We start from the raw sequence: 23,159 nt of genomic DNA, 5'->3' as shown, positions 1-23,159 counted from the left end.
CTAACTGGTGTGAGATGGTATCTCATAGTGGTTTTGATTTGCATTTCTCTGATGGCCAGTGATGATGAGCATTTTTTCATGTGTTTTTTGGCTGCATAAATGTCTTCTTTTGAGAAGTGTCTGTTCACGTCCTTCGCCCACTTTTTGATGGGGTTGTTTGTTTTTTTCTTGTAAATTTGTTTGAGTTCATTGTAGATTCTGGATATTATCCCTTTGTCAGGTGAGTAGGTTGTGAAAATTTTCTCCCATTTTGTAGGTTGCCTGTTCACTCTGATGGTAGTTTCTTTTGCTGTGCAGAAGCTCTTTAGTTTAATTAGATCCCATTTGTCAATTTTGGCTTTTGTTGCCATTGCTTTTGGTGTTTTAGACATGAAGTCCTTGCCCTTGCCTATGTCCTGAATGGTAATGCCTAGGTTTTCTTCTAGGGTTTTTATGGTTTTAGGTCTAACGTTTAAGTCTTTAATCCATCTTGAATTGATTTTTGTATAAGGTGTAAGGAAGGGATCCAGTTTCAGCTTTCTACATATGGCTAGCCAGTTTTCCCAGCACCATTTATTAAATAGGGAATCCTTTCCCCATTGCTTGTTTTTCTCAGGTTTGTCAAAGATCAGATAGTTGTAGATATGTAGCGTTATTTCTGAGGGCTCTGTTCTGTTCCATTGATCTATATCTCTGTTTTGGTACCAGTACCATGCTGTTTTGGTTACTGTAGCCTTGTAGTATAGTTTTAAGTCAGGTAATGTGATGCCTCCAGCTTTGTTCTTTTGGCTTAGGATTGACTTGGTGATGCGGGCTCTTTTTTGGTTCCATATGAACTTTAAAGTAGTTTTTTCCAATTCTGTGAAGATTTTTCCAATTCTGTGAAGAAAGGCATTGGTAGCTTGATGGGGATGGCATTGAATCTGTAAATTACCTTGGGCAGTTTGGCCATTTTCATGATATTGATTCTTCCTACCCATAAGCATGGAATGTTCTTCCATTTGTTTGTATCCTCTTTTATTTCCTTGAGCAGTGGTTTGTAGTTCTCCTTGAAGAGGTCCTTCACATCCCTTGTAAGTTGGATTCCTAGGTATTTTGTTATCTTTGAAGCAATTGTGAATGGGAGTTCACTCATGATTTGGCTCTCTGTTTGTCTGTTGTTGGTGTATAGGAATGCTTGTGATTTTTGCACACTGATTTTGTATCCTGAGACTTTGCTGAAGTTGCTTATCAGCTTAAGGAGATTTTGGGCTGAGACAATGGGGTTTTCTAGATACACAATCATGTCGTCTGCAAACAGGGACAATTTGACTTCCTATTTTCCTAATTGAATACCCTTTATTTCCTTCTCCTGCCTAATTGCCCTGGCCAGAATTTCCAACACTATGTTGAATAGGAGTGGTGAGAGAGGGCATCCCTGTCTTGTGCCAGTTTTCAAAGGGAATGCTTCCAGTTTTTGCCCGTTCAGTATGATATTGGCTGTGGGTTTGTCATAGATAGCTCTTATTATTTTGAAATATGTCCCATCAATACCTAATTTATTGAGAGTTTTTAGCATGAAGGGTTGTTGAATTTTGTCAAAGGCCTTTTCTGCATCTATTGAGATAATCATGTGGTTTTTGTCTTTGGTTCTGTTTATATGCTGGATTACATTTATTGATTTGTGTATATTGAACCAGCCTTGTATCCCAGGGATGAAGCCCACTTGATCATGGTGGATAAGCTTTTTGATGTGCTGCTGGATTCGGTTTGCCAGTATTTTATTGAGGATTTTTGCATCAATGTTCATCAAGGATATTGGTCTAAAATTCTCTTTTTTGGTTGTGTCTCTGCCCGGCTTTGGTATCAGAATGATGCTGGCCTCATAAAATGAGTTAGGGAAGATTCTCTCTTTTTCTATTGATTGGAATAGTTTCAGAATGAATGGTACCAGTTCCTCCTTATACCTCTGGTAGAATTCGGCTGTGAATCCATCTGGTCCTGGACTCTTTTAGGTTGGTAAGCTATTGATTATTGCCACAATTTCAGATCCCGTTATTGGTCTATTCAGAGATTCAACTTCTTCCTGGTTTAGTCTTGGGAGAGTGTATGTGTCGAGGAATTTATCCATTTCTTTTATATTTTCTAGTTTATTTGTGTAGAGGTGTTTGTAGTATTCTCTGATGGTAGTTTGTATTTCTGTGGGATTGGTGGTGATATCCCCTTTATCATTTTTTATTGCATCTATTTGATTCTTCTCTCTTTTTTTCTTTATTAGTCTTGCTAGCGGTCTATGAATTTTGTTGATCCTTTCAAAAAACCAGCTCCTGGATTCACTAATTTTTTGAAGGGTTTTTTGTGTCTCTATTTCCTTGAGTTCTGCTCTGACTTTAGTTATTTCTTGCCTTCTGCTAGCTTTTGAATGTGTTTGCTCTTGCTTTTCTAGTTCTTTTAATTGTGATGTTAGGGTGTCAATTTTGGATCTTTCCTGCTTTCTCTTGTGGGCATTTAGTGCTATAAATTTCCCTCTACACACTGCTTTGAATGCATCCCAGAGATTCTGGTATGTTGTGTCTTTGTTCTCGTTGGTTTCAAAGAACATCTTTATTTCTGCCTTCATTTCGTTATGTACCCAGTAGTCATTCAGGAGCAGGTTGGTCAGTTTCCATGTAGTTGAGCAGTTTTGAGTGAGATTCTTAATCCTGAGTTCTAGTTTGATTGCACTGTGGTCTGAGAGATAGTTTGTTATAATGTCTGTTCTTTTACATTTGCTGAGGAGAGCTTTACTTCCAAATGTGTGGTCAATTTTGGAATAGGTGTGGTGTGGTGCTGAAAAAAATGTATATTTGAGTTCAATTCCTGGGTATCCTTGTTGACTTTCTGTCTCGTTGATCTGTCTAATGTTGACAGTGGGGTGTTAAAGTCTCCCATTATTAATGTGTGGGAGTCTAAGTCTCTTTGTAGGTCATTCAGGACTTGCTTTATGAATCTGGGTGCTCCTGTATTGGGTGCATATATATTTAGGATAGTTAGCTCTTCTTGTTGAATTGATCCCTTTACCATTATGTAATGGCCTTCTTTGTCTCTTTTGATCTTTGTTGGTTTAAAGTCTGTTTTATCAGAGACTAGGATTGCAACCCCTGCCTTTTTTTGTTTTCCATTTGCTTTGTAGATCTTCCTCCATCCCTTTATTTTGAGCCTATGTGTGTCTCTGCACATGAGATGGGTTTCCTGAATACAGCACACTGATGGATCTTGACTCTTTATCCAATTTGCCAGTCTGTGTCTTTTAATTGGGGCATTTAGTCCATTTACATTTAAAATTAATATTGTTATGTGTGAATTTGATCCTGTCATTATGATGTTAGCTGGTTATTTTGCTCAGTAGTTGATGCAGTTTCTTCCTAGTCTCGATGGTCTTTACATTTTGGCATGATTTTGCAGCGGCTGGTACTGGTTGTTCCTTTCCATGTTTAGCGCTTCCTTCAGGAGCTCTTTTAGGGCAGGTCTGGTGGTGACAAAATCTCTCAGCATTTGCTTGTCTGTAAAGTATTTTATTTCTCCTTCACTTATGAAGCTTAGTTTGGCTGGATATGAAATTCTGGGTTGAAAATTCTTTTCTTTAAGAATGTTGAATATTGGTCCCCACTCTCTTCTGGCTTGTAGGGTTTCTGCCGAGAGATCTGCTGTTAGTCTGATGGGCTTCCCTTTGAGGGTAACCTGACCTTTCTCTCTGGCTGCCCTTAACATTTTTTCCTTCATTTCAACTTTGGTGAATCTGCCAATTATGTGTCTTGGAGTTGCTCTTCTCGATGAGTATCTTTATGGCGTTCTCTGTATTTCCTGAATCTGAATGTTGGCCTGCCTTGCTAGATTGGGGAAGTTCTCCTGGATAATATCCTGCAGAGTGTTTTCCAACTTGGTTCCATTCTCCCCGTCACTTTCAGGTACACTAATCAGACATAGATTTGGTCTTTTCACATAGTCCCATATTTCTTGTAGGCTTTGCTCATTTCTTTTTATTCTTTTTTATCTAAACTTCTCTTCTCGCTTCATTTCATTCATTTCATCTTCCATCACTGATACCCTTTCTTCCAGTTGATCACGTCGGCTCCTGAGGCTTCTGCATTCTTCACGTAGTTCTCGAGCCTTGGTTTTCAGCTCCATCAGCTCCTTTAAGCACTTCTCTGAATTGGTTATTCTAGTTATACATTCTTCTAAATTTTTTTCAAAGTTTTCAACTTCTTTGCCTTTGGTTTGAATGTCCTCCCGTAGCTCAGAGTAATTTGATCGTCTGAAGCCTTCTTCTCTCAGCTCGTCAAAGTCATTCTCCATCCAGCTTTGTTCCGTTGCTGGTGAGGAACTGCGTTCCTTTGGAGGAGGAGAGGTGCTCTGCTTTTTAGAGTTTCCAGTTTTTCTGTTCTGTTTTTTCCCCATCTTTGTGGTTTTATCTACTTTTGGTCTTTGATGATGGTGATGTACAGATGGGTTTTTGGTGTGGATGTCCTTTCTGTTTGTTAGTTTTCCTTCTAACAGACAGGACCCTCAGCTGCAGGTCTGTTGGAGTACCCTGCAGTGTGAGGTGTCAGTGTGCCCCTGCTGGAGGGTGCCTCCCAGTTAGGCTGCTCGGGGTTCAGGGGTCAGGGACCCACTTGAGGAGGCAGTCTGCCCATTCTCAGATCTCCAGCTGCGTACTGGGAGAACCCCTGCTCTCTTCAAAGCTGTCAGACAGGGACATTTAAGTCTGCAGAGGTTACTGCTGTCTTTTTGTTTGTCTGTGCCCTGCCCCCAGAGGTGGAGCCTACAGAGGCATGCAGGCCTCCTTGAGCTGTGGTGGGCTCCACCCAGTTCGAGCTTCCCAGCTGCTTTGTTTACCTAAGCAAGCCTGGGCAATGGCGGGCGCCCCTCCCCCAGCCTCGCTGCCACCTTGCAGTTTGATCTCAGACTGCTGTGCTAGCAATCAGCGAGACTCCATGGGGTAGGACCCTCCAAGCTAGGTGCGGGATATAATCTCGTGGTGCACTGTTTTTTAAGCCTGTTGGAAAAGCGCAGTATTCGGGTGGGAGTGACCCGATTTTCCAGGTGCCATCCGTCACCCCTTTCTTTGATTAGGAAAGGGAACTCCCTGACCCCTTGGGCTTCCCAGGTGAGGCAATGCCTCGCCCTGCTTCGGCTCACGCATGGTGCACGCATCCACTGACCTGCGCCCACTGTCTGGCACTCCCTAGTGAGATGAACCTGGTACCTCAGATGGAAATGCAGAAATCACCCGTCTTCTGCGTCGCTCAGGCTGGGAGCTGTAGACTGGAGCTGTTCCTATTTGGCCATCTTGGCTCCTCCCCTCAAATTTTTGTTTTGCATAGGTTATCTGTATACTTTCCCTCTACCCTGCTTTGAGCAACCCTTGACGTACACAGGGCAATCTACAAATATTTGTTTGGCAATTTTATAAGTAAATGGTTTATTTTTAAAGTTAACTTTGCTTCTGAAAAGACATTGAAGTAATTCAAGCATCATCATTCCAATTTGGATTTTTTTTTATAATTAAAATTAGGTTTTGCAAGTCATTGTGTTGTCTATGATTGTTCATTTGATAGCAGGGAAAGATGTCCTGCCTCCTGCAGGGGGGATTTGCTCTCCTACTCTGCTGATTTAGAAGATCAAACAAAATGACCTCCACATCAGTCTTTGTCATCATGCTCATTTGAGTTCTGATTTTCCCTTGATGTTAGAAGTAATTCAATTAATAGCATACATGGTGGTATATTGTAATAGAGAAGTGAGTTTGGATCAAAGGGTCACATTTAGTTGAAGCACACAATGACTGCTTTTTTGATTGGTACTAAGGTTTGCTTTGCTCCCACCAAAACTCCTGTTAAAATTTGATACCTAATGTGGCTGCGTTGCATTGAGAGATGGGGCCGAGGGAGAGGTGCTTGAGTTATGAGGGTAGATCCTTCATTAATAGATGAATGCCCACCCATGAGGATTGAATGTGTTCTCACTCTCACTAAAATAAATTAGTTCCTGCAAGAGCAGGTCGTTAAAAATAGGCTGACTTCCTCAGTTTTTCTCTCCTCCTTCCTCTTTTGCCATGTGACCTCCTTGCATATGCCAGTTTGCTTCCCTTTTTGCTTTCCACCATGATTTGAAGCAGCCTGATGCCTTCATCAGCTGCAGATGCCCAGTCTTGAACTTTCCAGTCTGTAGAATCATAAGCCAAATAAAACTCTTCCTATAAACTACCCAGTCTTAGATATTTTGTTATAGCAACACGAAACAGACTAAAACAACTGAATTCCTGTTGTTAGACATTTTCATCTGAAATCCCTGCATCTCCAGGCATTGGAACTGGCTGCTGTATGCATATGTATTTTTGACCATGAGTTAGATAAATACTTCAGAACAGTCTTGGCTCATCATACATTTCCTGAAACCTCTAGTAAATATTGCAAACTACTGTCATTCCAATCACTCCACTGGACATTAAGGATACAGATGAAAGACTCAAGGAACTCATAGGTTGATTAAAAACAAGTTATATCAGAGAATAATAAGAACCATAAAAGAAGTAGAAGCACACAACACGGGCAATCACATATTTGAAGGTCTATGAACTTCTTGACAATCACTGAGTAAGATCAAATCTGCAAGAATCTGCAGCTAGAGTTCTTTTTAGGTGAAAAGGCAGTTATTTTCAACAATAAACTCAGAAGGGAAAAGAAAACTTCACTTCAGCTGCTAGATAATAATATGAAATAGATCCATCATATATATTAGAATAGCAGCTCATTTATTCACGCTGACTTTGGTCTCATGTCGAAGAAGGTCAAAGCACTCTTCCCATTTGCCCTCTGTTAAAAGCTTTCAAAAATGACCTGATGAAAGGTGGGGTTGCAGAGTGGAAAGGATCAGTTCCTTAGAATTTATAAATGCACTAAAATAGAATTCAAACTTTTGCTGCAGTACATTACAGATACAGAAACCTAGAATTGTAAATAATAGAAATGTGGCATCAGAGGCCCCTTTGAAATTATCTGAAGCTATTTTAAAAATTATTTTATAGTGGTGGAAACTATTCTTACAAAAGCATTAATAATGGGCCCAAGAAATATTTAGAAACAGAACTGTCCTAAATTCAGCTTTGGGGGTGCAGGGAAAATATGGGCAGATTCTCCCTCACATTTGAGATTTTCTTCAAAGTAAAGGGGTTCCATCAGTATAAAACCCCTGCCTCTGTTTGCCCCTATCTGTCCTCCCATGGGAGATGGATTGCTTATCTAATTAGTTTATGCAAAAGCAAGGCCAGGGCATATATAGCCAAGGTGCTCCTTTCTTTTTCTTTGGGGAAGACCTCCTTACATAAGGCATGAGTTTTTATAGCTGTTGGCTATGCAGGGAGCTCATTCCAGAGACCAGGTAGTCTGGGAATGGACTATGGTGCCAGGATGAGAATGAAAACTCTAAATTCCAAGTTCAGCACTGGGAGGCCCACTTGACCAATATTTTCTCCATTAGTAATAGTAATATTTTGATATCTTAATAGGATCATGCTGATAAACTAACACTTGACTCTAAGAAAAAAATATCAGACTTGCAGCATCTGCAGACTTCTGTGGTATAAATACCTCCACCTAGACTCATTTCACTATGACCGTGACGTCAATGAATGAGGACTTGAAAAGACATGCACACAATTAGCTCTCATAAGGTTACACAAGACAGATTCAGCTCATCACTGTCTCTTTCCCATCTTAGTCTTTTACCTCATTCCTCAATGCGTGCAGAGCTGAGAGAGAAAAAGTGCTATTTAGCAGACTCCCTCAAACACCAGTATTTAGATTTCTTGATTTATAGTCAAATGCGTTTCCCACTATACCACAGTGTCATTTGGAAATTGGAGTTTCACTGCTTATTATATAATCAAGCATATAAGCAGTTTATATATATATATAGTGTATACATAGTATATAGTTACTTATATTTATGTAGTATGTGTATTTGAATGTACACAAATATGTAGTGTGAGTGTACATATATGTACACACATGCAGTGTGTAAAAATACGTATGAAGTGGTTGCATAGGTATATATATTGTTAAAACTTATTGAGCATTTTAAATGACTGGATTTGATCCTATGTAAATTTTACCTCAATAAAGTTAATTTTTAAAAGTTAATTTGTTCACGTGAACAAAGTAGAATTAGATTAAATGAGGCACAGTAACCACTGAGATAATAATGGGTGGTTGTTTTATTGCATCCGAATCTTCAGCTTGTCTTAATTCCATGCTTTTATTATGTGACTTTGCTGTTACTTCATTGATGTTGAGTGCCCATTTGTGCTAATTTGTTAAAAAAAAAAAAAGAGAAATAAATGAAAAACAACCAGGGAACATTGCCAAAAAAATTGCTATTCAAAAAATAATAATACAAATAGCCAAACTGTGTCCCATCTATAGACATTAATCTTCTCAAGCTATAACACCTCTGATTCTTGAACTGGCTGGGATATTTTGATGAGATAAAATTATACATTACTTGTCCTTGGCAGCAGATATCAAACAGATGAAAATTGTATTAGGTTTATAATTAAGATATTACTTTGACATTGAAAGCTCTTAGTGGACTGGATCTCAATTAACTTCCTGAACTTCTGGCTCCTTAATTGATCATCTCACCTTTGTATTTTAAACAGAAGTTTGTAAATATTATTTTTCTTTTTACCAGAGCTGTGACTTTTGTTTACCTCCTTCCCCTGGGCTATATTGCCAAGTTAATTGATATCATATTATATCTGCATCACTGGAATTATAACCATCTGGCTTCTAGAAACACATCCATACATATTATGCACACACAAATGTTAAAAAATCTGAAATATATATACACATATATATTTATATATGCACATATATACACATACATACGTACTCATGTATTTAAAGTTTTTAGCCTAACAGTTTATATCATAAGGTACTTTTATATAATCTGAAATATCTGCATCTATTACTGAATAAAATCACCTGATGTTTAAGTTATATTTTCAGTTACATATAAGTAAACTCCTAAAATAAGCATATTTTGTTGACACATTTGGTCATGCGGAGGTATTCATGATTGAAGAAAGTGCTAATTTTAACCAGCTGCTTGAGAATTTGCACTCCTATCTCCTAACTGTCCCTGTAGGCAGCGCTCCATTCATACCAACAGGGCTGCCATTACTAAAAAGAACTCTGAAACTGCCGTTTTTGGGGAACTACCTTTGGTGCTGACTCTTCTCTATGCTAACCAGTGACAACACTTGGCAAAATCTTAGTCCTTTGGAAGTTGACTGAATATCTCGAAACTGCCAAAAGCGTTTGGAATCAAGACTAATGAAGATGGCTGATGGGAAGCTGTGGACACTGCTTGAAATCAGTGACTCCGTGGTACTATAACATAATGAGGCTTTATTTTGCTCTGCGGCTTCTAACCTGAGTCTGAAGTCAGGGCCAAATGCAGAGTTCACAACATGCTTTGAGCAAATGCATATGAAATCTCTTCTTAATTGCCTTCTTTGGCTACACTAAAAATACTTATAATTATTGGAAGCACATTCACTTTTCTCTCTTATTTTTAACCTCTCCTGGAAGATCCCTGATTGATGAAAGTGGAACACAATAACTCTCCAGCTTGACAAAATGTAGTCTAAATTTTCTATTTCACTTCCATGGAATTACAATTTTAAATCTTTATGTACCTTAAATGTGAATGGGGCACATAACTCCTATGACCTGAAGTTTTGGTGAAGATTTAGTGATAACGCATGTAAAGTAACTGATCCGGTATCTACGTAAAATGTTTGGGCAATATATGTTATTATTTTTTTTCCCACTCTTCTCTCCTTCCCCTAATAAAACTTTTGGGGTATTCCAACTTTTGAAATGATTTTGTTAATCTAACAAATGATAAATATTATATAATAATTTTAAAAAATTGCAGCCAATTTCTACCCATCTTAAAGCAGAAATGCCAAAAGTTTTAGGGATTTTTGTACATTGCATGTAACACTCTTTTGTTCCCACACAGAAAACTCTTTAGCTTTGTCTAATAAATTCCAACAAAACAGCTGAACTTGAAGTAAAACAATTTTGTGACACTTATACCCTGACATTTTGGTAGGTGATGATAAAATGCAGAAGAAAATAGGGGCATTTCAGACACATTTAAATATAGAAACATATTTTGAGTTGATTGGTTGAAGAATGATTTTGTTTGTTTTATTCTTTCTTATTTTAATTCTAGGGATGACAAAGAAAACTGGTAAGCAAAATATAGGGCAGGCTTTTCGAACAGTATTTCATTTCAAAAAATACTGTTTGAAAATAAAATATTGTTCCATTTCAATAATGAAGAGAAGGTGCTGCAACGCTGATTATGCAGAGTTGGAACTGAGCATGTGCCTGGGCCGAGGTTACGGTCCTAAGGATCCCCTTGCTTCAGAGGTCTTCCATTTAGAGGCAGCATGCGCTCACTCCACAGCACACAGTGATTACACATTGTGAACACAAAGGCAGAATTGCAGTATTTGCATGAAGCTGCCAGTCTATGTTTCATTTTCTCACACAGGGGCTACAATAACTACAAAAACTTTTTTCATCTGGACTATTCTACAGGTAACAGATGAAACCACTCTTTCCAAAGGTGGAACTGTTTTAAGTGAATTATTATGTAGAAATCTTTTTGATTCTAAGTGGAAGGCATGGTTTTGAGGTGTCTGATTGGGAAAGTGGACCAGAATCTAAAAGGCATCCTCAGAATTCCTTGACAAATGTCATGATTTTGCTTGATGATTTGCATTTACCGGAGAAAGCTTAGAATGACCTCACCAGGCACCTGCAGAGGAGACTTCCGCCGTTTATTTTTTATTTTGCATCCTTGCTCTTACGTATAGGAGCACTGCCTGTTGTGTCTTGCTACAGCATGAATCCCCCATCTCCCCCATCTCCCCCATCTCTGGGGAGTGGAGATTTTACCTCTTTGTCTTAGTTGGCATTAATGTTACATTTCCTAGAATTATTCTTTGAGACGGAGTCTCGCTCAGTCGCCCAGGATGGAGTACAGTGGCGCAATCTCAGTTCACTGCAAGCTCGGTTCACGCCATTCTCCTGCGTCAGCCTCCCTAGCAGTTGAGATTACAGGGGCCCGCCACCATGCCCGACTAAGTTTTTTGTGTTTTTAGTAGAGATGAGGTTTCACCATGTTAGCCAGGATGGTCTCAATCTCCTGCCCTCGTGATCCGCCCGCCTCAGCCTCCCAAAGTGCTGGGATTACAGGCGTGAGCCACCGCGCCCGGCCCCTAAAATTATTTTTAAGGAAGTTGAAAAGTCTTCATGGGGGGAAGGTGGGAGGAGGAGATGGTTTAAGAGCTAATTGCAGAAATCTGAGGGAGAAGATACCTATGGCTTTGCAAACACTTTAATGGAACATTGGTGTGGAAAGAGTTTTCAGGATATGATCTTGATGGCCTGGGATTCAGACATAAAGAGTAAGTGCTCTCAGAAATAAAATAATGCAAGAGTAAGTGGTAGAGAAATGGCCATACTCAAAATGAGACACGGGATCTCTGGAAGACAAGGCATCCAAGAGATAAATCTTTCGGATTCTTTGAAGGGTGGAGCTACCTAATATTTAATTATAAGTTATGTGTTGATTGGATCTTTGCTGTTACCTACTTGGCATTAACTCCCAAATTTAATTAAATTCTACTTGAAGAAATGGCCCTGTCAGAGCAGTGCCTTGAGAAAATCAAAGTAAAATAAATTTTGTTTAATCTTTGGATCAATATTTGGTACAGAAAAAGGGAACAGCTATAAGAAACAAAAGGGGGAAAATTTAAAGACTTGAGAGAAAGCAAAATATTGAGTAGGAAGACATTATAAGAAATACAAGCTCTTGTAAATGCTGGAAAATAGTGGGAAGTTAGTGAGTGATGCTGAGTTGTCCACTACTTCTATATGAGATTGGATTCATTTTTATTTAAGTTCTGTCATTCCATGTAAGTCCAGTCTGGAAGGCTTGAGGATGTCTAGGAAGCTGACGTGTTGATAGCAATCTCAACGTTTCCAATCCTGGTTTATTATAAGATTTTTCTAAATTACCTCTACTTTTTCAGACGTGGACATAGCTCTCCAGAGGCTAAACATACAATCCAAACTCCTGAGAATGGTATAAAAAACTTAGAGGCCCAACCTTTTTTTCTCACCTCATTATCTAAAACTTTCTTACCCACACTCTATGTTTTAACAGTTAAGACTTATCAATAGTCATATTTCTTTTTTTTTTTTTTTTTTTGAGAGAAGTCTTGCTCTTATCCCCCCAGGTTTCAGTGCAATGGCTCGATCTTGGCTCACTGCAACCGTCGCCTCCTGGGTTCAAATGATTCTCCTGCCTCTGCCTCCCAAGTATCTGGGATTAAGTTGCCTGCCACCACCCCCAGCTAATTTGTGTGTATTTTAGTAGAGACTGGGTTTCATCATGTTGGCCAGGCTGGTTTCGAACTCCTGACCACAAGTGATCAGCCTGCCTTGGCCTCCCAAAGTGCTGAGATTACAGGCGTGAACCCACTGTGCCCAGCCTAGTCCTATTTCATTTCTTTAAAAAAACCAAATTTGAAACAACAGGAGGTAATGACACCATTACTGTAGAAAAGACAAAAAACAAAAAACACTTTTGAGCAATGTAGTTCACAATACCCTTCTTCTGGGAAGAAATTAGTATTCCAGACAAAATGATAAGTGATTTTCTGCTGGATTTTAATAAGATTAAGCTATATCCAGAGAACTTCACCAACCCAGTTGACTGCCAGCTTACTGTTAGCCAAGAATCCAATGCCCTTGAAGGAGACTTTCTTTTCTTCCAGTATTTAACATGATTATTGGTATTTAATAGATAATCTAACAAAGTTACCTATTCCTTCTCTTGCCCTGCGAAATACTAACCAAGAGTAAATCTTTGAATTGGTCATTGGGGGCTTTTTAAAAGATCTGTAGTGCAAGACTAACAAAACACTGGCCAATGCTTATAACTAAATTGTCTGAAAAGTTTTCTTTAATATATGCAGGAGAAAATTACAGTTGCTTCAAAGTAACCAAATGCAAATCTGGAGCCCAGATATTGCTAGCAGCTAGAATTACAAAACATGTTTTGGAAAACAAAACATTACATATATACATACATACACATAAAAATAATAGATAATACTGTGAGGTTTGGGGAAATATATCTTAGAATTCCCTGTTGGAGTACATTATCCACCTGCACTGTATGACATAATAGTTACTAGGCATATGTGGCTATTTAACACTGGAAATGTTACTTCTACTAATTGAGATTTTTTGTAACACTTATATCCTTACATTTTGCAGATGTACATGTTGTATATTTTGCTGTAAGTATAAAGTACATTTGATTTTAAAAACTGTTACTAAGGCAGAATTCAAAGCATCTAACAGTGTTTATATTGATTACATGGTGAAATAATATTTTTAATATATTAAATAAAATACATTAATCAGTAAAATTCATTTTAGCTTTTTCCTGTTTTTTGATGTGACTACAAGAAAACTGAATATGCAGGTAGCTTGCATTTGTAGTACACGTTATATTTCTGACAGTACTATTACAGAGGTTAAGATGTTTTCTTACTTTGAGTTTTTATTTCATTTATTTTTACGTTTCCTCTTGTCTTTAAGAGGGCTTGCTAAAAGCTGTGGAGGAAGTTTTAACTCACGTTGGTATCAGTTGGTAGTAAATGAAGCCTTCTATCTCTTGGCAAACTAACAAAGAAACAATTTACTGGAATTAAAGCACTGCAATATTGTTTTTGGTTCCAGTTGTTCAGCAAATGTTTGCCAAATTTCTAATATATACTGAGCACAGTGCTCCATCCTGGGGATACAGTGAGTAAGCATGGAGGTGTATTTTTCTCCCCTCTTTGCAGAGTAAGTGCACGACAGGTATAACACTTATGAACATCAGCATGGGGCAATATCACACAAAGGGGTCCTGGGTGATGCTATTGGTAAATATCCAGTAATCATTGGTGAATAACCCAGAGAAATAACTAGATTGGAGAGTTTTGAAATGGACTCTTTGATATAGTAGTTTTTATCCTGATACCTGGTGGTTAATTTATATATAAGCCAAGGAAAGAGGAATTCCAGGTAACAATTCTCTTTAGTGAAGGGTCATTCCTAGAGAGAAATGTAGCCAAAGTCATCAGTAGCCAACCTTTGCAAGTATGAGTCAAAGAGAGAAGAAGCAAATTTTGACTCACTGCCTACTGAAAACATTTGAGCTTGAATCAGATCCTGGGCTTTAATGTGGCTAAGAGTCCTGAATATTCCTATGGCCTTAACTTGAATTGGAGTTATTTGGCTATTATTACCTGGATTTTTAATGTCCAAAACGGATGAGGAGATGGAATCTTATCTAACACTAATCAGGAAAGTTGTGGAATTGTTCTATAATTTTAAACAAGAAAAAGTACCATTCTAGAGAGTAAATTTGAAGTAGCAATGGAAGAAAGAATGAAGCTAGCTTTTGTATTTATCTTTGAAAGCCTAGTTTGGTCAATGAAAGCAGTTTCACATTTGGTATTACACTGAAATTACTTGGTCAGAAGCATGCTTCTCTGCTCACATTTTAAATTCATTCAGACTTCAATGTTTTCAGCTTTGTGTACTGAAAAATGATTCAACGTTGGGTACATACTAGCCATGCAATACATATATTTAATGAATGAATAAATACTTTTAAAGTGTGTTTGTGTGTGTAATGTTTGTGGAAAAGATATCATTTAATAAAAATTTTAGACCTCTGAACTCTCTGTGGGATTAGCAGCAATGAACTGCTAATCCCACATAGAGTTCAGAGGTCTAAGGAAATGAAGTTTCTTATGCCCTTATCAACAGTTTTGAGTGGATATTTAGCAACTAAGCTAATCAGAAAGGGCTTACGTCATCAGAATTAATGAGGATTTAAGACACTTGATTGAGTCAAGGGAAATTTTTCAGTTATCTGCCACATGCTATTGATCTCTCAGCAGTTCGTTAAACACCTGAAGCAAACACGGCCGTGAGCCAGCAGGGCAGTGGATGTAAGTGCTGAAGATTTACAGCTCCAGTGGATCTCATCCATCAGGTACCTTCTTTGTCTCTTCTTGTCCAGCCCCAGCTTCGTCCCAGAACTTTTTTATTTTAACTTCTATTTTAGGTTCACGGATACATGTGCAGGTTAGTTCTATAGGCAAACTTATGTCATGGGGGTTTAATGTGTGTATTGTTTAGTCACCCACGTACTAAGCCTAGTACCCAACAGTTGTTTTATCTGATACTTACCCTTCTCCCACCTTTCTCCCTCAAGTAGGCCCCTGTGTCTGTTCCCTTCTTTGTGTCCATGTGTTCTCATCATATAGCTCCCACTTACAGGTGAGAATATGTCATATTTGGTTTTCTGTTCCTGCATTAGTTAGCTAAGTATGATAGCCTCCAGCTACATCCATGTTCCTGCAGAGGACATGATCTCATTCTTTTGTATGGCTGCATAATATTCCACAGTGTATATGTACCACATATTCTTTATCCAGTCTACTGTTGATGAGCATTTAGCTTGATTTCCTGCAAGGGATAGTATATCATTCTTTTATATGTTTGCATAGTATTCCATGGTGTATGTGTAGCGCATTTTGTTTATCCAGTCTACCATTTATGGACATTTAGATTGATTCTATGTCTTTGCTATTGTGACTAATGCTGCAATGAGCATACATGTGCGTGTCTCCTTATGGAAGAATAATTTATATTTTGGGGAGTATATACCCAGTAATGGAATTTCTGGGTTGAATGGTAACTTTGTTTTTAGTTCTTTGAGAAATTGCCACACTTTCCACAATGGCTGAACTAATTTACACTCCCACCAACAGTGTCTAAGCATTCCCTTTTCTCTACAACCTCACCAACATCTGTTATTTTTTGACTTTTTTTTTTTTTTTCAGTCTCGCTCTGTCACCCAGGCTGGAGTGCAGTGGTGCAATCTCAGCTCATTGCAGCCTCCACCTCCTAGGTTCAAGTGATTCTCCTGCCTCAGACTCCCGAGTATCTGAGACTACAGGTGCCTGCCCCTGCACCTGGCTAATTTTTGTATTTGTAGTAGAGATGGGGTTTCACCCTGTTGGCCAGGATAGTCTCGATCTCCTGACCTTATGATACACCCTCCTCAGGCTCCCAAAATGCTGAGATTACAGGCGTGAGCCACTGGGCCCAGCCTTGACTTTTTCAAACTAGCCATCCTATTGCAGACCTCTTGTCCCACTGTTTGTTGCTATTTCCTAGTCCTTTCTGTATCCTCAGAAGGTCTCTTAGTGACTGATGAAAAGTCAGGTAAATAGAAGGATGTCCAGTACAAAGGTTGAGAAACTCATGCAAAATGATGGCCTTTTTTCCTAAAGCATGTATGACCGGAAGAGAATTCTGGACGGGAGGTCAAACAGTGTATTCCGTATTCTTTTCATATTCTTTTGCTAGTTCACCTATTTGCATCCCACCTCACTCCCCACCTTTGCAAGTCCAAGTTAAAGCATGCCTCCTATGGAAAATCATCCACAGCCACCGTGTCTCATAGCCATATGCTAACTGCTGCTAATTGCATAATATAGGCGCATCCTTTAAGATATCGGGAAATACAAAAATAAAAAAACATTATACTTAAGCACGAATAAAAGTTAAGTGTGATCTTGAAAGTTGATGAAGAAATTAAAATTACTTAATTTTTCTTTATAGTAGAAAGCAACTTATAGACATATCCGATCTCCTAATTAATGGCAGTTAAGTGGTACGTGGAAGAAAGACAGAAGATAGATAAAAAGACAAATTCATAATTATGTTTAGTAAATAACTACAATTTCCATTAACAAGATCCTCTTTTTCTGGATCATTTGCCAATTTACCAATTAGCCACCTACACTGCCAACAAGTTTGCTACCTAACTGAGGAGAGGAGACTAACAGGAGCCAGGTCACGACTTGAGAGATCACAGCCTACAGTAGGTGACATCTGAACACATAATCGTGACACAGCTGAGCCCAGCTCTGAGGGAGGCACTTGTTGCTTGCCAGGAATATCAGCAGAAGGGACTCTTTTGGAGTTAATGCCCGTGACAAGCTGAATTGTGTCTCCTTTATATTCATACATTGAAATCCTAATCCCAAGTATCTCAAACTGTGACTGTTTTCAGAGACAGGGTTTTTTAAAAGATAATTAAAATGAGGCTTTAGGGTGGGCACTAATTCAATATAACTGGTGTCTTTTATAAGAAGAGATTTGGACACAGAAAGAGAAGAAAGACCACGTGAAGATACAGGGAGAAGATTGCCATCCATAATCCAAGAAGAGGGGCCTTAAAAGAAACGAAATCTGTCGACACCTTGACTTTGAACTTTTAGCTTCCAGAATTGTGAGAAATTTCTGCTGTTTAAGCTACTCAGTCTGTGGCAGTTTGTTACAGTAAAACTAACAAACTAATACAGGCGGAAGCGCCTGTGAAGGTAGCCTGCATATATGATACATTAGCAGGATGTGAGATTATCAAGTGAAACAAAATAGGGGGAAAGAAACTTTTCCAGAGAGAGCAGCACATGCAAAATCACAGCGAAGACAGAGGGTGCAGGTTATTCAGACGTCTCTAAGTGCAGTTGACTGAAGGCCAGGATGGGTACAGGATGGCAAGATGAACCTGGGGCTCTAAGCAGAGTTCAGATCTTAGAGGGCATCAAGTGATTGCTTAACAGGAGCCACTGACTTTCTGCTCAAAGGAGAAAAAGAGTTCTTTGCTATTGAGGATGACACACTGGTCAAGTTGAATTCCACCCTCTCTGCCTACCCCAGACCATTGTTACTATTCTCTGATTCATGGCTCACCACTACTCTCACCTATACTGGGGAAAGCCCCATGGAAGAACTCAAGAAGAAAGCACCTTACAAAGGGGCATTAATTAATTGGCAGGGAGTCTGAAGGAGTGCTAGAATAGATTGATCACAACAGATGGAGATAAGTCGCTTGAGGAAGTGAACAGCTGGACAGGTCTATGTTTATTTTCCACAGTTGCAAATTTATAACAAAATCAATGCAGCTTATCAACAGAGATTGATGGCATTTCAGAAGCAGTGGGCAACTACATGGGTGAAACATTTTATTATGTATATATATGAACACGGCCATTCATTAAAGCAAGTGGGCCCAGCGCGGTGGCTCACGCCTGTAATCCCAGCACTTTGGGAGGCCGAGGCAGGGGTTTCAAGAGGTCGGGAGATCGAGACCATCCTGGCTAACACGGTGAAACCCCATCTCTACTTAAAAATGCAAAAAAAATCAGCCTGGCATGGTGGCAGGCACCTGTAGTCCCAGCTACTCGGGAGGATGAGGTGGGAGAATGGCGTGAACCCAGGAGGTGGAGCCTGCAGTGAGCCGAGATCGCGCCACTGCACTCCGGCCTGGGCAACAGAGCAAGACTCCGTCTCAAAAAGTAATGCTCTTACAACTATGGAATGGATGACTGGATACGTTCACAGAATTCAGCTACAGACAAATATTATTTGATATATACAACTGAGAGTTCTGTATTTCGTAAAGTAGGTTTTGTTAACAAAGAAGACTAAAGAGTCATAGATTTTGGAAGATAAAGTATTTAATAGGGATTAAATCCATGCATTCAATAACCGTACTTTCTTAGTTCAAATTCTACTTCTACCATTTTTCAGTTCTTTAATCCTCAAAGTCACACAGACTCTCAGAGCTTCAGTTTTCAGTTTTTAATGTTAAAATAATTCTAAGTATACTAATAACAACAAGCATTATGGGATTTGCCAATAATTATAATTAGTGTTTTACGTATTTTGCCCCATTTAGTCCTCAGAAAAACTTTATGCTATAATAATTATCAATAGTGCAAGCCTGGTGGTTTATGCCTGTAATCTCAGCACTTTGGGAGACCGAGGCAGGCAGATCACTTGAGGTCAGGAATTCAAGACCAGCCTGGCCAACATGGTGAAACCTCATCTCTACTAAAAGTACAAATATATATATAATATATTCATATTTATGTTAGCTGGGTATGGTGGTGCATGTTTGTAATCCTGGTTACTGGGGAGGCTGAGGCAGGAGAATCGCTTGAACCTGGGAGGTGGAGGCTGCAGTGAGCCGAGATCGCACCACTGCACTCCAGCCTCAGTGAAAGAGTGAGACTCCATCTCAAAATAAAAAGAAAGTATTATTAGCTCATTTTACTGATCAGGAAATTGAGGCAGAGAGTGGTTAAATAACTTGCCCAAGGTCACTGTTATAGTAAATGACAAAGCTGAGATGCCAACCCGTGCAATTTCTCTCCAGTGTGTATATTTTCATTATACTCTACAATTCCATGTGATTATTAGCACCCTTATTATTATTGTAAATTCGTGGTATAGGCACACACTGTCTGTTCATTAACCTACTTGAATTCCAGGTCTTTGCGTGAATCCAATCTCACCTTACTCTGCCTTAAGCAGGTTGTCTCTTAAATGAGGTCCTGGTTCTTGCTCTCCTATCCAGGATTCTGGCTGGCACCTTTTGCCCTCAGTCTCAGTTCCTCTTCATAATACCTCCATCTGGATGCTCACTTGTAGCTGAATTTTGGTTTCTGATGAATGCTTCTCTTCCTCAGTTCTTTGGTCTTGCTTTGGGGACATCTCAGACTTGATTCAGTCCATTCCCTTAAAGTTCCTTTTTGGGGGACCCAGCTCACCCATGACGCTGTAGCTACTTTCTCCTTACTGGGACCGGTCGACTCCTCCCAGTACAAATGTCCTTCTTCTCTCTTCTCTAGTGATGTGAAACTTCCTGCTTTCAGACAAGATAAGGGAGCTTTATTTAAAAATACATGGGGAGTGAAGGTTGAGAGCCTGGGCTTTGGAGTGGGGAGCTTTCCATTTGAACCGTGGTCCTACCATTTATCATCCACTCTGCCATGTGGACAACACTCCTCCCTCCCTCAGGGTTGCTTTAGATATTAAAAGAGATAACAAATGAAAAGGCTTTAGCAAAGGTCATAGTATACAGTAAGTGCTTAGTGAACGTTATTTTTACTATTATAATTTTAATTGTGCTAAAAGCATTATAATTTATGTTTTCAGAAATACAGTATATAAAAGCGGCAAATAGCAAGCTATGTTTGATCATGAATTTCTGCTACTTACAACCTTTGGAACCACCTAATTTCCTCCTAAATGAGTTTCATAAGTTGGCACCTTTTAATCTCTTTAAACATGTAGCCTCCCACCTCTCCCTTTATGCTTTATACTCTAATAATGATAAATGACTTACTCTTTCTCAAAAAACACCATGTATCTTTGCTTAACATAGTGTGCCACGTATTCCTAGAATCTCCACCCACTCATGTTCTCATCTAGAATGTTCCTACTAAACCTTGTAAACCGCTGCAACAAGAATCTTCCAGCCTTTTCTGAGAGCCCAACACTATCTTTCCCAATCCAAGAAGAGAGTGATCTTCTGTGTGCAAACCGTGTGCCTTGAAAGTTTGTCTCACAGCAGATGCATTTATCACATGTTGTTCCTTCATTCTGTAACTTTTACCAGGTCTGTTTCCATGCAGAATTATCTATGGTTGGATCAGTAAGTGTGTCTAATTCAGAAGCTAGTGTTAGTACGTCCAATTGCTCACAAATGTAAGTTTTGTATCCCAATCTACCCTTATTATTAATAATGGGTATATTTTGGCTTTTATTTGCTTGAAACGTTATTTTTCAGTTAGTTTGTAATCCAGGTCATGGCAAAAGGAATGTTATTCATTTAGCTTCTCTCAAATAACTCTGATGCGTGGGCTATGCACCTTGAGAAATGAGCAAGGTGTAAAATTTTGGAAACAAGTTATGCATGGAATGATTTTGGCTTTTGGCAGAGCTGGAACAGATGCTTGTAAACTGTGCTTTTCTAAGCACAGGCCATGCTGGCTGTTTTTTTTTTTTTTTCTCTTTTTTTTTAATCTTAGTGACTTGCCACCTGCATTACACAGTGCAGCTGGTTTTTCATTGTGGAGTTGGCTTTATGAATGTGTGGCATGGTCTAGGGACTTTGAATCTTTGAATCTTTGGACTATTTTGACCATGGCAGGTTACTGCAGGTTATTGTGACACTGGCCAGAGTTCTGTGATAGCTTATATAGAAGGACACCCCAACAAATGTGAAGAGGGCTTCTGGAGTCCCAACAAATTTGTAGACTGCCTGTGGGTACAGGTCCCAGCACTGTGATCTTGACCTGTGCTTAGTTTATGTGCATGAAGAACAGGGAGCATGCAAATAGTGGTGGCCTCAGAGGCATCAGTTAAAAGGGTCAGCTGAGGCAAGAGTTTGATTAGAGACAACATATCATCACTAAAGAACTTTTAGGCCTCAGTGGTTGAGGAATATGTGCTGTGCTTAGTCTGAAAGAAAGTGAATTATGAGTGTGTTACAGTGCACAAGGGTAGTTCTAGGTTGAAACTGTTAACACCAGGCCTAGGGAAAAGGTTAAATTGGCTGCCGAATTTTAGTTATGATTCAAGTTGAGGAAGGAGATTGCAGGTCTAGAGGCAGTACCAGGGTATAAGTCTGTTCTCACACTCCTATAAAGAATATCACCGAGACTGGGTAATTTATAAAGGAAGGAGGTTTAATTGACTTACAGTTCTGCATGGCTGGGGAGGCCTCAGGAAACTTATTATCATGGCTGAAGGTGACGCAGGCACGTCTTATATGGCAGCAGGTGAGAGAGAGAATTGAAGGAAGGAAGCTAAACCATCAGATCTTGTGAGAACTCACTATCACGAGAACAGCATGGGGGAAACTGCTCCTATAATCCAGTCGCCTCCCACCAGGTCCATCCCTCAATATGTGAGAATTATGGGGAATACAATTCAAGATGAGATTTGGGTGGGAACACAGTCAACCATATCAACCAGCTTTTCCATGGGGTCAAGTATCAACTAACTCACCCTCCTGCTATCAACACTATCTTGTGATAAATTAATTCTGTATCTCTTAATTACTTATAAGAGGGGAAACCCTCTCAAAGAAGGGATATTTTTATATGTCTTAAAAATTTGAAAGATAAATTAAATGAAGGAGAAGCAGCCTTAGTATTTCAGAACTGAAAAATTCTTTATCATAAGAAAGTGTGGGGAACTCCATTTACTTTGTAGAATCCCCATTCAGCAGACATGGAAGCCAGGAGCTTTTGAATGTTATGAGTGGAAAAGCAAGCAAATCCATTCTGACTTATCAGGCAGTAGTTATAAGTAAATTTTATTGATATAGTAAAAAATTCCAGAATGAATATCTTGGTGAGAAAGTTTTCCAACTGAGTTAAAATTTCAATTATTAGATTTTTTAAAAATAGCATGAACTGAATGATATGCCAGCAAGGTCTCCACCAAGATATCCATCTTCTTTTAGCACAATACTAAGTTTCTGCCGCAGTCTTTGGCAATACAAATGATCAGGTTGAAAATATTTTTCTCTGTGAAAACTCTTCTAGAAGCCGTGATGGATTGCTGTTTATCCAGTTCTCAGAATAAATGCCATTGCTATGATAATCTTTTCTTTAACAGTAACTTCTTGGAATTTTTTAAATAGTGAAGAACTTCAGAGACTCAGTGTTAAACAAATACAACCTCTGAGACCATGAAGAAGAAAATACACCCCTTCCAATGAGAAAGAGCTCAATTTTCAAATGCTTAGAGATCACTGTCTTGTCCAATGTATTGAGAACTCTTCCAGCTGACACCAAGTGGCCAAAAAATTAAATGAGTGGGGACTTTAAAATCTGTTAAATTTTACCTCACAAGTATCAGGAAAAAAAATGATTTGGCCCTTAATTCTTTGGAAGCATTATATTTATACTTTAAGTAAGTTGCAAAATAATTTAATCTTTCTATTTTAATATAGGCCCAGTAATGTTATAGTAGCAAAAAAATATGTTATTTAAATGTGGGTCATCTCATTATTGACATTTTGTGATTCGAGTATAATTATGTTATCACTCAAGTTCAAAATGGATCTCCTACTAGGCTATTTTGGCAAGGTTACTGAGAAAAAAAATGTAAGCCAGAAAATCAAATAGAGATTAA

At 38.9% G+C, this 23,159-nt stretch overlaps 1 long non-coding RNA gene and 1 other non-coding gene across 3 annotated transcripts in view; both read right to left on the bottom strand.

The window, feature by feature from the left end:
* Nucleotides 1-8,194: 8,194 nt before the first annotated feature.
* Nucleotides 8,195-23,159, bottom strand: part of LOC107986178 (uncharacterized) — a 245,894-nt gene continuing 230,929 nt past the window's right edge. For both annotated transcript variants that reach the window (NR_188484.1, NR_188485.1), the window contains 2 exons: nucleotides 19,526-19,875; nucleotides 8,195-8,303 (listed from right to left, as the gene is read on the bottom strand). This is a non-coding gene — a long non-coding RNA (uncharacterized LOC107986178). The remainder of the gene's footprint in view (nucleotides 8,304-19,525; nucleotides 19,876-23,159) is intronic.
* Nucleotides 14,813-14,883, bottom strand: MIR12113 (microRNA 12113). The gene has a single exon (NR_162127.1). It is a non-coding gene; the product is annotated as a microRNA 12113 (primary transcript).

Source organism: Homo sapiens, chromosome 4 (genome assembly GCF_000001405.40).
Source record: "Homo sapiens chromosome 4, GRCh38.p14 Primary Assembly".
NCBI classification, from domain to species: Eukaryota; Metazoa; Chordata; class Mammalia; order Primates; family Hominidae; genus Homo; species Homo sapiens.
The sequence above is the reverse complement of the archived record's forward strand: the minus strand, read 5'-3'. Positions and strand labels throughout refer to the sequence as shown.